This window comes from Homo sapiens, chromosome 16, assembly GCF_000001405.40.
Source record: "Homo sapiens chromosome 16, GRCh38.p14 Primary Assembly".
Classification (NCBI taxonomy): Eukaryota; Metazoa; Chordata; class Mammalia; order Primates; family Hominidae; genus Homo; species Homo sapiens.
Genome location: NC_000016.10, coordinates 46,794,855 through 46,810,802, shown reverse-complemented (window position 1 = coordinate 46,810,802; position 15,948 = coordinate 46,794,855). Strand labels below are relative to the sequence as shown.

General features: G+C 35.1%; 1 protein-coding gene across 7 annotated transcripts in view; it reads left to right on the top strand.

Moving 5' to 3' along the window:
* C16orf87 (chromosome 16 open reading frame 87) overlaps nucleotides 1–14,200 on the top strand; it is a 34,578-nt gene extending 20,378 nt beyond the window's left edge. For 3 of the 7 annotated variants that reach the window (NR_145836.2, NR_145837.2, NM_001001436.4), the window contains exons 3-4: nucleotides 1,018–1,200; nucleotides 7,733–14,200. Coding sequence is in view for 3 of the 7 variants with exons in the window: in NM_001001436.4 (NP_001001436.1) it covers nucleotides 1,018–1,200; nucleotides 7,733–7,851 (302 nt within the window). In the remaining 4 variants the exon portion in view is untranslated. Of the gene's footprint in view, nucleotides 1–1,017; nucleotides 1,201–2,668; nucleotides 2,835–6,356; nucleotides 6,468–7,732 lie in introns of all 7 variants that reach the window. The other 4 variants (NR_145834.2, NM_001348660.2, NR_145835.2 and 1 more) reach the window with 3 other exon arrangements.
* The last annotated feature ends 1,748 nt before the right edge of the window (nucleotides 14,201–15,948 follow it).

Sequence of the window (15,948 nt, the reverse complement as noted above, 5' to 3'; positions counted from 1 at the left end):
TGATAACTTTCTTGCAATCTGGGATAATTAAATATTCTTGTATTATCTGGTATATGTCTAATTTGAAACTTCAGATTAATTCTCCAAGGATATGGTGTTTGGGGATAATATTACTATTTTACTTTTAATTTTTTTACAGCAGTCTATTAAGCATACTTATTTTATAGTCTTTCACATTGTTCCCTTTAGTTCTTTGGATATGAATTTTTCTGTTTGTTTTGCCCCTTTACCACTGAGATTTTTGGCATTTGGGGAATTCTCTTTCTTGCTTTTGAGTGCAGGTATGTGTTAAAGCAAGGTATCATCTTTTTTGTTTTTGTTTTGTTTTTTTCTTTAAGTTTATTGTTTGTCTTATCCAACATTTTGATTTGTTTAGAGTGGGAGGGGTGGCTTCTTGCACTAATTAAATCACCATATTTAGTAAAGTTTCCCTATTGCTATTCCATTTATGGAACAACATGCTCTTATATCAGAAATTACCTTATCTGTGGCTAAAGTGAAAATTACTCACTTGCCTAGGGTTTTTATATTTGTTATGGATGCTTTCTGTTTGATTTTTATTGTAACCTTAATACGTTATCTCTAAGATCAGTTTTGCTTTTGCATATTTCACATATTTTAATCTTTAACTCAGGTAGAGGGCAAAAGGGCATGCAGTTTTTTTCCTTTCTTAATATTTCACTATTTTTAGCTTGGAAACAGGAAGAAAAAGGCAGAAAGGTTGCTATGGAATTGTGTGAACTTGTAGAGGCTGAAATTTAAGCTGCCAAATGAAGAAACTTGTTTTCTCTTCCAAGATTCCTCCTACTTCATGTGTTATTGTGATCTGAATTCTATTGAATTTCTTTTTTTCTTATGAGGGTGTGGGGGAGACATATATGTTATGGTTGTAGTTCTATGAAATATGCCAGGAAGCATACTCTAGTGCTATTTAGAAAGAAAAAGGAAGACAATGAGAACTTGGGCAAACAGTTCTTGCTAAGCCCTAAAATATATCACTTTTATTCATCCATACAGAAAACAAGCATGAGGCCAAGAGGAGGCGAACAGAGAGAGTTAGGAGAGAGAAGATAAATTCTACAGTAAATAAAGATTTAGAAAACAGAAAGAGGTCTCGAAGTAACAGCCATTCAGATCATATCAGACGAGGAAGAGGAAGACCTAAAAGTGCATCTGCCAAAAAACATGAGGAAGAAAGAGGTATGAACAAATCAAGCAGTTTTTTTTTCAAGTATTAAATTGATCTGGGATCTTAATTAGGTAGTAGTGAAGAAAGTGGAGGCATTGAGCTCCTGGACTTAAAAATCACAACTCATATTTTAGTTTGAAAGCATTTCCTCTGTGGTAGATGCTTATTATTTTTTTAATCACAGGAATTTAATTCTTATTGGAAACCTGAAGGCTTAGTTAGGTAAAATTTACCTTGCTATAAACTGATGATAATAGAGTTCAAAGATAATTTGTATATGACATCCTGAAGAAGCCTGTTAAAATGATTGTACTTTTTTTTTTTTTTGAGACAGCGTGTTGTTCTGTCACCCAGGCTGGAGTGCAGTGGCGCGGTCATGGCTCACTGCAGCCTTAAACTCCAGGGCTCCGGTGATTCTCCCCTGAGCCTCCTGAGTAGCTGGGACTACAGGTGTGCACCATCATGCCTAGCTAATTTTTTGTAGAGGGGGGTTTCACCATGTTGCCCAGGCTAGTCTTGAACTTCTGGGCTCAAGCAATCTGCCCTCCTTGGCCTCCCAAAGTGTTGGGACCTCTTTTTTTTTTTTTTTTTTTTGTCTTTTAAAGACATGTCTGAGTTCTGTTAAGACTACTTCAAACTATTATACTGTGAGTTTTAAAATTTTACTATTGAAAGTGTTGTTGGTGGAGTTTTTAATTGCTCATTGGGAGATTTGTGTGCTTCCTACTCTGAGGCAGCTTTTGCATAGATGAATTCTTCTTGGTCCAGAGTATATTTCTTTTTCTCCTTACAGGTCTTCTTTCTTCTGACGAATATCTACCAATAGCTTGTTTTTAGACATTAAAACTTCAGTTTCTCTTTTTCTTTGATTTATGCATCTTTTTAAAAACTTACAGAAAATTTCAACATATGCAAGAGTAGAGAAAATAGTATAATGAACCTCTCTATGTCCACAAATACCTTTTTAAAATTGAGACTTTCAAGCTGGTAGTTAATTTAAAAAAGGGATAGTTGCTCTTTATTGTTCTTTAAAAACCTCTGTCAAAATGATTTCATCTTCACTGAAATGCATTTTTAATTTCTTACACTATTTGTGAGTTATGCTTTGCTTTTCAGACGTTCTGTCTTAGATACTCAAGTGCTTTTTGTATAAATGTAAATTTCACTTATTTTAGACAATAAGACCATTCTACCAGTTTGCTATTTCTCTCTGCTTTATGTGCTTTTATTTGAATAAAGTTACTATTGCTAGAAAACAGCTTCACCAGTATAGCCATTCCTAGCTTTTATCAAAGTTAAAGGTGTCTTAGTATTGTATGGCTAAAGGAGTAAGGTTTATATCGGTTTTGACTGTATTCTAGGAAGGCTGTACTAAGGTACTCCATATTCCTTGGGTAATTTTACTGCTTTTCTCTTTCTATTATGCTCTTCCAGAGGGTTTGAGTTATTTGTTAAATTTGTATGTTTCTTTAACAATAGGGTGCAGAAAACCTATGCCGAGGACTCCTATTTTAGAAGGGAAACTAGGTAAAGAAAAGTCAGCAGAGAAAAAGGAAAAGAGAGAAATACTGCCTGGCTCAGAAAACAACATTCTTTTCAGTTGAAATAGAGGGAATGCAGCTGAAAGAAGAGAATGCTTCTGGTGGTGGGTGAGAGAAGATGAGAAAGCAGATAATGACCATCTTTAGCTGGGGAAATGAAGTCTATATACTTGTGGTAGAACTGTATATATGCAGGATTTCAGCTTTTATTTCATGATTACATGAAAAAAGAAGCATTTGTTTAGCTGTAAATATTTTTTAGGCATTTTCTGTTTATTACAGAAAAATTTTAAGAAAGCTATTTCTAGAGTAAGATATGCTTTTTTTTGTTTTTGATACAAATTGTAGGAAATTACTTAAATTAATTTTTGTAGCACAAACTGGAATCTTATGTAGACCATGAAGTCATTACACTTTTTCTGTAAAGAGCCAGATAGTAAATGTTCTAGGCTTTGTGGGCCATACTATCTCTGTCACAACTACTCAGCTCTGCCATTGTAGCTGGAAAGCAGCCATAAATCATGCATAAATGAATGGGCATGCCTGTGTTCCAGTAATACTTTATAAAGCAGGTGGTGGGCCACATTTGTTACTTGTACTATAGTTTGCCAATCTCTTTCTTTCTTTTCTTTCCTTGCTTTTTTTTTTTTCCTTCTGAGATAGCGTCTCACTCTGTTACCCAGGCTGGAGTGCAGTGGAGTGATCATGGCTTACTTCAGCCTCAAACTCCTGGGCTCAAGCGATCCTCCTGCCTCAGGTGCATGCCACCACACCAGGCTACTTTTTTTACTTTTAGTATAAATGAGGTCTCACTATGTTGCTCAGGCTGGTCTCAAACTCCTGGGCTCAAGGGATCCTTTCAGCTTGGCTTTCCAAAGTGCTGGGATTGCAGGCATGCATGAGCCACTGCACTCGGCCTAGTTTGCCAATCTTTGTTGTAAACCATTGTACTCTTAAATATAATGTGGACAAGAACTATTAGGTTGGTGCAGAAGTAATTGCGGTTTTACTTTTATACCAATCTAACATGAACTTTTGAAATGTCTGTGTTTTAGGATAGATTTCTTGGATATGCTTCTTAGTGCTAAATAGCTATTTAGTTGGTTTTTATTGATTCCTTGCTCTTAGAGCATTTGAAAATTTTGAAGCAAGCTTTAACTTTATTTTAACCATGAATTAAGGAAAACCTGACAATGTGTCTAAAAAACCTAACTTAAAAATGGACTTTTCTATCTAGTCAGATGAGAGATCCAAAGGGGGAAAAATGACTTTTCTATTTTGAAACAGAATAAGAAGGAAGAATGGAAAAGGAAAGCTTGTTAGACATCATCATAATAATATATCTTTATAAAGTCATAAAAACAAATCATTAAACAATTTTTGGTTAGTCTAATGTAAGTCTTCGTTTTATATATAAGGGTATTCTGGATATTATAATATAGAAGTGACATTTTGACTGATTAAAATATGTTAGGCAGTTCTGAACATCATATTAATGAACTTAAGAATGAATGGGTCAGGCGTGGTGGCTCACGCCTGTAATCCCAGCACTGTGGGAGGCCGAGGCTGGTGGATCATGAGGTCAAGAGATCAAGACCATCCTGGCCAACATGGTGAAACCCCGTCTCTACTAAAAATACAAAAAAAATTAGCCGGGCGTGGTGGTGCGTGCCTCTAGTCCCAGCTACTTGGGAGGCTGAGGCAGGAGAATCAGTTGAGCCCAGGAGGCGGAGGTTGCAGTGAGCTGAGATCGCGTCACTGTGCTCCAGCCTGGAGACAGAGCGAGACTCCGTCTCAAAAAAAAAAAAAAAAAAAAATGAATGTAGACTTCAAGCTGAAGATTGTGGATTGAAGAAACACATCTAGCTCTAAACTCCTTTGGGGAAATCTAAGAAAGAAACTGATTTTTATTACACAGTTACCTAAAAGTCAGGAATTTGTGTATCAGTTATGTCTGGAAGTAGAAGTGAAATTGAGGCTAAAAATGAGAGGATTGTTTGCAAGTCTTTTTATGAGTAGCCCACCAGGACTGTTTACCCTCTTATCCCCCAGGTTTATCCTTTGAAAAAGGTAAATAATACAGTCTTTGGTCTCAGGAACACCAGGTGTCTGTTGACGGCCAGGATACCATGTTAAGATCAGGAAGCCTAGGTGAAAATTGGACATAGTAAATGCTGAGTTCTTGAGTTTGGCTTATTAGCGTCCAGGTAAAAAAAGTAAAAAAGTTTGAACATATCTTCTCTAGAGAATCCGAAGGACCCAAGAGAAAAGGCCCCAAATAAAGATACTCTCATTAGAGATTCACAGAGAAGTGGCCTAATTGGATCATCCTAATCTGATGACTACAGTCAAGCTCCACGTATGTGTATGTTTCTAATCAGCTTCTTTGGTCACTCTCCTAAATATGAGCATATTGCCAAGAATTACCCAGATATCTGGAAGAAAGCATCTATTATAGTATGAAAGGCTAAGACCAAATCAACAGGAGAGAAAAAATAACTTGGAAAAAAGCAAGATTTTGCAGGGAAAAGAAAAACTATAAACTACTATTAATATCTTTAGCAAAAGAAGCAATTGTAATTGTAAAATGAACAAGGTGATATTTAAAAGGAAATTGCAGAGGTCAAAAAGCCAGTTGGAAAATGAACTTTAAAATATTCCAAAAAACCCCAAAACATAGATGATACACAGAAATGAACAACTTTAATAAAAGGCTTAAAGATAAAATTGAAGAAAGGTTCCAGAAACTATAACAATTGAAAAGAGATGGAAAAAACAGAATGGAAACCTTAAGAAATTTAGAGGACCAGTATGAGGTCTGACATCTGTAAATAATTAAAGTTTCAGATAAGGAACATGGAAGATGGAGGAGAAGGAAGTCATCAACGACTTTAACAATGACAATTATTTATTCAAGAAAATTTTTCCAACCTGAAGGACATTGAGTTTCTTTGTTAAAAGGGCCTACAAATTCCCAGTCTAAAAAGAGAAATGATGGTTAAAAAGAGAAATTATACCAGAGTTCGTCATCATATCTCATATCTTTGGTTAAATAAAATTTTTCAGGTTTTCAGAAAAAAGAAAAGCAAAATGATATTGGAACTAATACAATGCAATATTGCCCAGCAAAGAACAAACTACTGATATATGACTAGCATCAATGAATTTCAAAAACATGTTGAGCAAAATAAGCTAGGCACAAAAGAGTACATACTATATATGATGCCATTTATATGAAGTTTAGGAACAGACAGAATGATTCTGTGGTAATAGAAATCAGAACAGTGGTTGCTTGTAGGTGTAGAGAGGGATTGGCTGGAAAGAAGCATGAGGAATTTCTGGAGGAAATTTGTTATATGTTGATTGTGACATGGGTTACATGTTTGTATATGTTTGTCAGAACTCCTCCAGTTGAACACATAAAAGATCTGTGTATTCACTATATGTAAATTTATCATTGATTTTAAAAATAACTATAAAAAAGGTATTGGTTTTCTCAACAATGGCACCAGTAGTCAGAAGACAGTTTACTGCCTTCACAGTTCTAAGCGGAAACCTACAAGTCTATACTCAATCAAACTATGAATTAATGTGAAGGTAGACTAAAGATATTTTCTGACATTCAGGGTCTCAAAAAATTTGCTACCAATACTGCCTTTCTCAGGAAGCCCCTACAAGTTACCTGCTACCAAAATGAAGAAATAAACCAAGAAAGGATCTTTGGATTCAAGACAAAGGTGGGTCCACCCAACTCTAGAGATGAGAGTCTCCAGCATGATGCTGATGAAAGAGCACAAGATGATAATTTTGCAGTAGGCCTAGAGAGCAATCATTTCATACTGGAGCAGGTTGGAAGACTTGGAGCGATTTCTTCAAGAAGATAAAAATGATAAAATACCTGATACGTGTAAACATCCTGAAAAACAATTTATACAACTAGGAAAGACATTGGGTTGAGTTAGAAATGAAAACTAAGCAAGTAAAAAGAGAATCACTTCAGGGAAAACAATGTAAAGGAAAAGTGAAAAATCACTTACCATAGGCATAATAATGTAATCACTGAAAACTGATGTTACTAAAGTTGTGATTTAATTATAGTGAGAAGATGAGGGATGGGCAGAGTGTTTATTGGGGCAAGAGATGCAAAACAGTGTAACCCTTATTTTCCCTGGTGGAAAGTGAATCAGTAATGCCTAAAACCCTGAAGTAGCATCTTGTACAAATGTTACTTAGAGATTTGTTTTTGTAAAAGCAAAAAGGAACAACTGAAAAAAAAAGTCACAAAAAAAGTAGTTGCATTTGGAGAGTGGAAAATGTGTATGGGGCAAAGGACTTCTGTTTTTTTTTTTTAACAAGTTTTATAAAAATGATTTGATTGTAAATTATATGCATTTAACTTTGATTAGACTGTCAAAACAAAATAAACAAAAATAGAATCAGGGGATCCTGAAAAAGTAACTTGGAAGAATATACACCAAGATGTTAATTGTGATTTTTGCTGACTCATGAGATTACGAGTGATTTTTATTTTCTTTTTCAAATTTTCTGTGAACTTGGATTACATTTGTAATCGAGAGGGGAAAAATAAAAATAAATGTCATTTCCTGTATAAGAAGATGAAGATGAATATGTTAATGTATTCATAAAGTCACCATTGATGTTCAGAAGGGGACCATCTCTCAGAGTGAATTTCGTCTAGCAGAGAAAATTCATTTTGATTGAGACAGTGAGGAGATAGAAATGTATGAGATTCTTAGAAAAATTATGTAGCTGTTAGAGTGCCTGTGTATAGAAATAAATATTGTCTTCATTTAATCTTCATTTCAGTAACTCCTTTGTATAATTTAAAAAACTTTTTAGTTCAGTAGCATAGTAACATTTAATGTATATTGTAGTATTATATATAATACTGTCATTTAAAGAAATACTTGAAAGCTTTAAAAAATTTAAATTTACTGCATCTACTGCCTTTATATTAAACTTTCCCTTTTTCTTTTAACAGAGAAACAGGAAAAGGAAATTGACATCTATGCTAACCTGTCTGATGAAAAGGCTTTCGTGTTTTCAGTCGCCTTGGCAGAAATAAATAGAAAAATTATCAATCAAAGACTTATTCTCTGATACTTGTTTGCAAAATCTGCTGAAACTTCTGTCAGGATAACATCAGCAAATTCTCAAACAGTTATGGACTCTCAGGAGCATTCTGACTGCATCAATAAGGGCCATCGATTGTTTCTTTCTCGCCTGTCGTTTAGCCTGTGCCACACTTCGGGAGCAAAGCTGTGTAGGCTTGGACTGTTCTGGGATTTCCTTGTTTACCAAGGAGTATTGTCAGTGTTTTGTGTTTGGGATATAAGTAAGTGTATTTGCCAACAACAAAAAAAAACCAACAAAAATGCTGGATGGATGTTAAAGGATAAAAAGTGATGGGGTATGGGGTAGGTATGAAAACTAGGGTAATAAGATGCTTGATTGTTTTCAGGTTTGCCACCAGAGATGCAATATTTTAAATACTGTCAGAAAGAGTGATTTTTAAAAATATATATTTCAGATTTTCAGTGCTAACAGATTGCATATATACAGTTCATTTACTTTTATTAAATTGGCAATCGATATTTTATTGAATGGGGAATTAAGAATATAAACTGTAAATTTTGTCTTAAATTGATTTTTTTTCTTGGCCTTTATTTTTATTACTTAAGGTATGAGTTATATTTTAGGAGATACTTTCTAGACAGTTTGAAGTTTGGGTGCTATATGAAGAAAAACATTTAATGATATACTCAGATATAAACACCTTGTTTTCTTGAATGTAATTTATTTATTAGCTAAAAAAAAAAAACAAACTGCTCTCAAGATGGTGCCTGTTAACCTAAACATGAAATATATTTATTACATGCAAAATATTTCTTAGCCACTTTTAAGCAGTAATGTTTTATCTGAATGGATATTTGTTTCTATATCCTGATAATTATTTAAATTGTTACTTTCAATCTGGAAGAAAAAATAAACCTTAATATTGAAACTAAGTAGATTAAATAGTGTGATAAAAGTTTTTTGTTCTGGTGAAGTTTGTGAAATATATTTAAATTCTTAATTTTTCTAGTGTTAAGTCATAATCGTTTATAGTTGATTTATATTAAATGCTTTTGCATTTTGGCATATCAATTTAATGATTAACATATTCAAACTTGGTAATCACTCCCCTTATTTTCAGTCGCTCTTCCCCCAATCTGTTTAGAAATCCTTTTAAAGCCTTCTTACAGAAGATAGTCATCAGTTAGATTTAGCCCCCTTTTAAGAGAATCTCCCTTTCAATTTTAGCCGTAACATTATCAATTTCAGACTTCATCCTGCATCTCCCATCACCTCCTCAAAGAAAAAAGGTCAACATTTTTTCCTACTTTATTTAAATGGTAACCAGCAGAGGGAGCTTAAGAGGTACTCTAGATAGGATAAAGAATTTTCCTAAGGATTCCTTTTCCTTTAATCCCTGTATCTATCTGCAGGTACTACTGCAACTATTTTGTATGCATTTTATTTATTTATTTAGGAGACAGAGTCTTGCTCGGTCGCCCAGGCTGGAGTGCAGTGGCACTGTCTCAGCTCACTGCAACCTCTGCCTCCTGGGTTCAAGTGATTCTTATGCCTCAGCCTCCTGAGTAGCTGTGACTAGAGGCGTGCGCCACCACGCCTGGCTGTTTTTTTTTTTGTATTTTTTAGTACAGATGGGGTCTCAGCATGTTGGCCAGGCTGGTCTCAAATTCCTGGCCTTAGGTGATCTGCCCGCCTTGGCCTCCCAAAGTGCTGGGATTACAGGCATGAGCCACTGCACTCAGCCTTGTGTGCGTTTTAGAGTCTTAACTAGTAGTTTCCCCAATAATGTAATGTGATTTTATCTTTGAAACATACTGTAAGGAAACTTTTGATTTTAAGTAAAAAAGCTTAAAAATGATTAATATCTAAAAATGCTTGTATACATATATATGTCCTCAGAAAAAGCAAGAACAGCTTGTGGAATAAGCACGTCTTTAAGGAATTATCGATGTCAGAGTCTATCCATTTAAAGCTGAAGACCATTACAGGAAAGTCATGTTAAAATATTCATTGGATATGGTAAAGGAGGTACTGGTGGCTGGGCTGGAGCTTGCCGTATAGAAAAGTAATTACTTCAGATCTCATAATGTTAAATTATTGGCTTATTTAAAAATTTCCGTGGCAGAGAGGCAAATTAGGTTTCCTCTGTGACATAACCTATTTAACCAATTTTTCAAAAAATTGTACTCTATGAGCTTTCTTGTTATAAAGCTAAAAAATTTAATTTGTCTAGGCATGTTGTAATGGTCCCAGAAAATATTACTTTGTCACTGGTGTCAGAGAAACCTCTGTCATCAGCAGATGTCCTAAGAGTATAATTATAGTTCTTTACTTAATCCAAAATTTGTTCTGCTCTGATATCTATAAATGATATGATTATTCAAAATACCTTGAAATGATTCCACAATTAGATTAGGTCTGTTGAAGATAACTTATTCTTAAATATGAGTAAGATTAAATAAAAGTAGTTTGAGAGTTGTTACTCCCTGCCTCAACTCCATGGTATTCCAAAATGTTTTTGTGGGCACTTTAATACTTGTAGTTTGATTTTGTTTGTTAGTTTTAGAAATGAACATTTCTTAGATTTTCATGGGTATTTTTTGGCTGTATTTAAATGTAAATGATATAAAAGTAAGGGAAATTGTGCAAATTATTTCTTGTGTAGTAATCAGTGGAAGTGATCAAACAGCTTGAAGCAGTTTATGATGAGAAAATTTAAAATTGCAAATGACCTGAAAATTTAGCCAGTCTATTCTTATTTCTTTAAATTTCAGAAATACTTAAGAAAAAAAAAAAAAAGGTCAGTATGACCTCTGAGTTGCTTCCTAAAAGTAATCAGATAGTGTTCTCCCTCAGATAAGATTTCAAATTGAAAAGTATTTGACTTCTTTAACTCTAGTAATTGCACTTGATTCTCTAATTCTGATCATTAAAATGACTTGGCAATATTTAATTTTGGCTTGCCTTTCAATCTGCATGTTTGTCTTAAATTTAGAAAAATTAAGCTCTTTACTTACTTTTATATAAAGTATTAATTGGCCAGGCATGGTGGCTTACACCTGTAATCCCAACACTTTGGGAGGCCAAGGCAGGAGAGTTGTTTGAAGCCAGGAGTTTGAGACCAGCCTGGGCAACATGATGAGACCGCGTCTCTACAAAAAGTAAAATTAGCTGGGTGTGGTGCTTCCAGCTACTAGGCAGCTGAGGCTAAAGGATCACTTGAGCCCAGGAGTTCGAGGCTGCAGTGAGTGATGATCTTGCCACTGCACTCCAGCCTGGGAGGCAGAGCAAGAAACACCCTGTGTGAAAAAAGTATTGAATTTGTTTGATTCCACTTTCAAAATATGCTCTAGATACAGGTAGTCATTCTGCCAAATTGTGTTCTTCTCTAAAACATTTTGTCCGTCATTCTTTGAAACTCATTCTTAATTATTTCCACTTTACCTTCTAGTTTGGTTTGATGCCTTATATTCTTGCTAGTTAAAAGCATTTTTTCCCTAGTATTTTCTGTCTTTCTAGCCTTTAAGGCATATTGTTGTTAACAAATCTCTTATTTAAGTTAATTAAAGTTTTTTCTGTGCAGCTGGGTTTTTTCTTTTACTACATGACAAGCTTCATTTTTACATTTGGAAGTACATGTATATATGTTTATATATTTTTATTCTCAGGATCTATTTTCTAGGGAACTATTTTTTTAAATTATTCTTTTGTGCTGCCTTAACCCATTTATTATAGTTTGAATATTAGTAGTACTTACTACTCAAAGATTACAACTATACTAATAACTATCCTAACATACAAAGCAGACTCTCCAGGATTAAAAGTATGAGACATATAACAGAGTCTGGAATAGAATAATTCTTTTTACCCCAGTCAAGTATTTGCCTTTTGCATTATTAAGGAATCTGTTTTGTTCTTTTATTGATAATTTCTATATTTTTTTCTTTGCCTTATTGCACTGGTTGGGACTTTTTGCCTTGATCCAGTTGTAGGGGGGAAACATTCAGTCATTAAGCATTAAATAACTTTGTTGTTGTTGTGGGCTTGAAAAAATACCCTTTAGTAGATTGAGGGTAGACTCTTTTATTTCTGCTTGTTGGAAGTTTTCTGTCAGGAACAGATGTTGAATTTTGTCAGATGCTTTTTCTGCATAATTGATAGGACCTTTTTTCTCCCCTTTAGAATGTTCATATGGTGAAACATACTGATAGCTTTTCTTTTCTTTTTTTTTTGACACGGAGTCTCACTCTGTCACCCAGGCTGGAGTGCAATGGTGCGATCTTGGCTCACTGCACCCTCTGCCTCTTGGGTTCAAGCTTCCCTCACCAGCCTCCCAAGTACCTGGGTATACAGGTGTGCATCACCATGCCCGGCTAATTTTTGAATTTTTAGTAGAGATAGGTTTTTACCATGTTGGCCAGGCTGGTCTTCAACTCCTGACTCAGCCTCCCAAAGTGTTGGGATTACAGTCTCGCTCTGTCGCCCAGGCTGGAGGGCAGTGGTGTGATCTTGGCTCAATGCAACCTTGCAACCTCTGCCTCCCGAGTTCAAGCGATTCTCCTGCCTTAGCCTCCTGAGTAGCTGGAATTACAGGCGCACGCCACTACACCCAGCTTCTTTTTGTATTTTTAGTAGAGATGGAGTTTCACCATGTTGGCCAAGCTGGTCTCGAACTCCTGAGCTCCGGTGATCCACCCGCCTTTACAGGCATGAGCCACCGTGCCCGGCTGCATTTCTCTTTTGTAAGAACCTGCTCTGGTTTATTGATATTTTGCTGTTTTTCTGTTTTAAGTTTCATTAATTTCTGATCTTTAGTATTTTCTCCTTTCTTTGCTTTGGGCTTATTTGCTCCCTTTTCTAGCTTATTGTGGCGGAAGCTCAGATCATTGATTTTAAAATTTACTTATTTATTTATTTATTTATTTAATTCAACACTGATCAGAAGGCTTTTTGTGCTTTTCTAAAAAAAGCATTTAATGCTATAAATTTCCCATTTGCTTTATCTCACAAATTTTATTGTGTTGTAATTTTGTGTTCAATTTAGAATATTCTGATTTTTCTTGGTATTACTATAATTTTCAAATATTTAGAGTTTTTTTCAGTTATCTTTCTGTTACTGATTGTAATTTATTGTTTTTTAAAATTATAGTTCTTTGAATAGTTTTGCAGTATTTGCTCTAGGGATTACTATAAACATACTTCACTTTTTACAGTTCACTTAGAAGTCAATATTTTACCAGTTCAAGTGGAATGTAGAAAAATCTTACCACTGTTTACATTCCTTTACCCTCTCCCCTTTATGTTATAATTTTCTTATAAATCATAAGACTTGGCTGGGCACAGTGGCTCACCTGTAATCCCAGGACTGGGAGGCCGAGGCGAGCAGATTGCTTAAGTCCAGGAGTTCGAGACCAGCCTGGACAATGTGGTGAAACCCCAACTCTACAAAAAATACACAAAATTAGCTAGGCGTGGTAGCATGTTCCTGTAGTCCCAGCTACTCAGGAGGCTGAAGTGGGAGGATTACTTGAGCCCAGGAGGCAGAGGTTGCAGTGAGCCAAGATCACTCCACTCCACTCCAGCCTGAGTGACAGAGCTAGACACTGTGTCTCAAAAAATAAAAATAAAAAATAAGACTCATCAGATAATGTATTTTTTCCTTACAACTATCATAGATATTTTTAAGAACCCAAGAGGAAAACAGTCTATCACATTTACCACAATATTTATCATTTGTATTAATCTTCCTTAATTCTTGATGTTCCAAGTTTACATAGGTATCAGTCCTTTTCATCTGGAAAATTTCTTTTAGTGCAGGTCTGTTGACATTTAATTCTCTTATTTTTTCTTCATCTGAGAATGTCTTTATTTTGCCTTAATTCATGAAAGATATTTTTGCTGGATATAAACTACTGTGTTGACAGTTCTTTCAGCCTCCATGGTTTCTGATGAGAAATGTGCAGCCATTAAAGTAATATTTCCCCTGTATGAAACATGTTATTTTTCTCTGAGTATTTTCAGGAATCTTTGTCTTTGGTTTTTATTGGTTTGATTATGATGTGCCCGGGTGTTTGAATTTATTCTCTTTGGGATTTGTTGAGCTTAAATGTGTAAGTTTATGCCTTTCATCAGATTATGTAAAGTTTTAAACCATTCAGATATTTTCTGCTCTACTTTCTCCTCCCTCTTAGGCTCCAGTGATGCAAGTGTTAGACTCTTTGGTATTATCTCACAGATCTCAGAACCTCTGTTCATTTATTTTATTTTAATAAATCATTTCAGTTAACAAAATCATATATTGTATGCAGCATGATGTTTCAATATGTATGTTCACATTGTAGGATGTCTAAAGTAAAGATAATGAACATATGCATTATCATGTATACTTACCATTTTTTTTGTGGCTGCAACAATTCTCTTGGCAATTTTCAAGTATACAATATGTTATTAACTATAGTCGTTATGCTGTATAATTGATCTCTTGAACTTTTGCCTCCTAACTGAAAGTTTGTTTCATTTGACCAGCATCTCCCTAGCTCCCCTCCCTCACCACTGGTAACCACCATTCTACTGTCTGTTTCTATGAGTTTGACTTTTTTAGATTCCACATGTAAGTGAGGTTATACAATACTTGTTTTTTTGTGCCTGGCTTATTTCACTTAATATTCACCAGGTTATCCATATTGTCATAAATGGCAGGATTTCCTTTTTAATGGCTGAAGAGTATTCTACTGTGTGTATGTACTACATTTTCTTTTTTTTTTTTTTTTTTTTTTTTGAGATGGAGTCTCACTCTGTTGCCCAGGCTAGAATGCAGTGGCGTGATCTCGGCTCACTGCAAGGTTTGCCTCCCGGGTTCACACCATTCTCCTGCCTCAGCCTCCCGAGTAGCTGGGACTACAGGCGTCCGCCACCATGCCCGGCTAATTTTTTTGTATTTTTTAATTGAGACGGGGTTTCACCGTGTTAGCCAGTATGGTCTTGATCTCCTGACTTTGTGATCCGCCCACCTCGGCCTTCCAAAGTGCTGGGATTACAGGCGTGAGCCACTGCGCCTGGCCTATGCTACATTTTCTTTATCCATTCATCTGTTGAACACTTACATTGATTTTATATCTTGACTATTGTGAATAATGCTACAATGAAAATGGGAGTGCAGATATCTCTTCAACGTACAACGTACTGACATCATTTCCTTGGATATATACCCAAAAATGGGATTGCTGGATCATAAGGTAGTTCTATTTTTAGTTCTTTGATGAACCTCCATACCATTTTCCATAATGACTGTACCAGTTTACATTCCCACCAACAGTGTACAGGATTTTCTGTTTCTCCACATCCTGACCAACACTTGTTATTTTTTGTCTTTTTAATAATAGCCATTCTGACAGGTGTGAGCTGATATTATGGTTTTGATTTACATTTCCCTGATGATTAGTGATGCTGAGCACTTTTTCTTATATGTGTACACCATTTGTATGTCTTCTTTTTAAGAAATGTCTATTCACATCCCTTGCCCATTTTTAAATTGGGTTATTTTCTTGCTATTGAGTTGTTTGAATTACTTATGTATTTTGGATATTAACCCCTTAGATGTATGTTTTGCAAATATTTCCTCCCATTCAACAGATTATCTCTTCACTCTTGATTGTTTCCTTTGCTGTGTAGAAGCTTTTTAGTTTGATGTAGTCTCACTTGTTTGTTTCTGCTTTTGTTGCCTGTGCTTTTGGTGTAATATTCAAAAATCATAGCCAAGGCCAATATCAAGGAGTTTTTCTAGCTTGTTACCTGTTTTCTTCTAGTAATTTTATGATTTCTGGTCTTAGGTTTAGGTTTTTTAATCCATTTTGAGTTGATTTTTTGTATATGGTGTAAGGTAAGGGTCCAGTCTAGTTCTTTTGTATATGGATAGCCTGTTTTCCCAACACCATTTGTTGATGATACTATCCTTTTTCCATTGTGTCTTCTTGGTGGCCTTGTTGAAAATTAGTTGAACATATATGATTGGGTTTGTTTCTGGACTTGCTGTTCTTTTTCATTGGTGTATGTGTCTGTTTTTATGCTAGTACCATACTGTTTTGATTAGCTTTGTAATATAGTTTGAAATCATGAATTGTG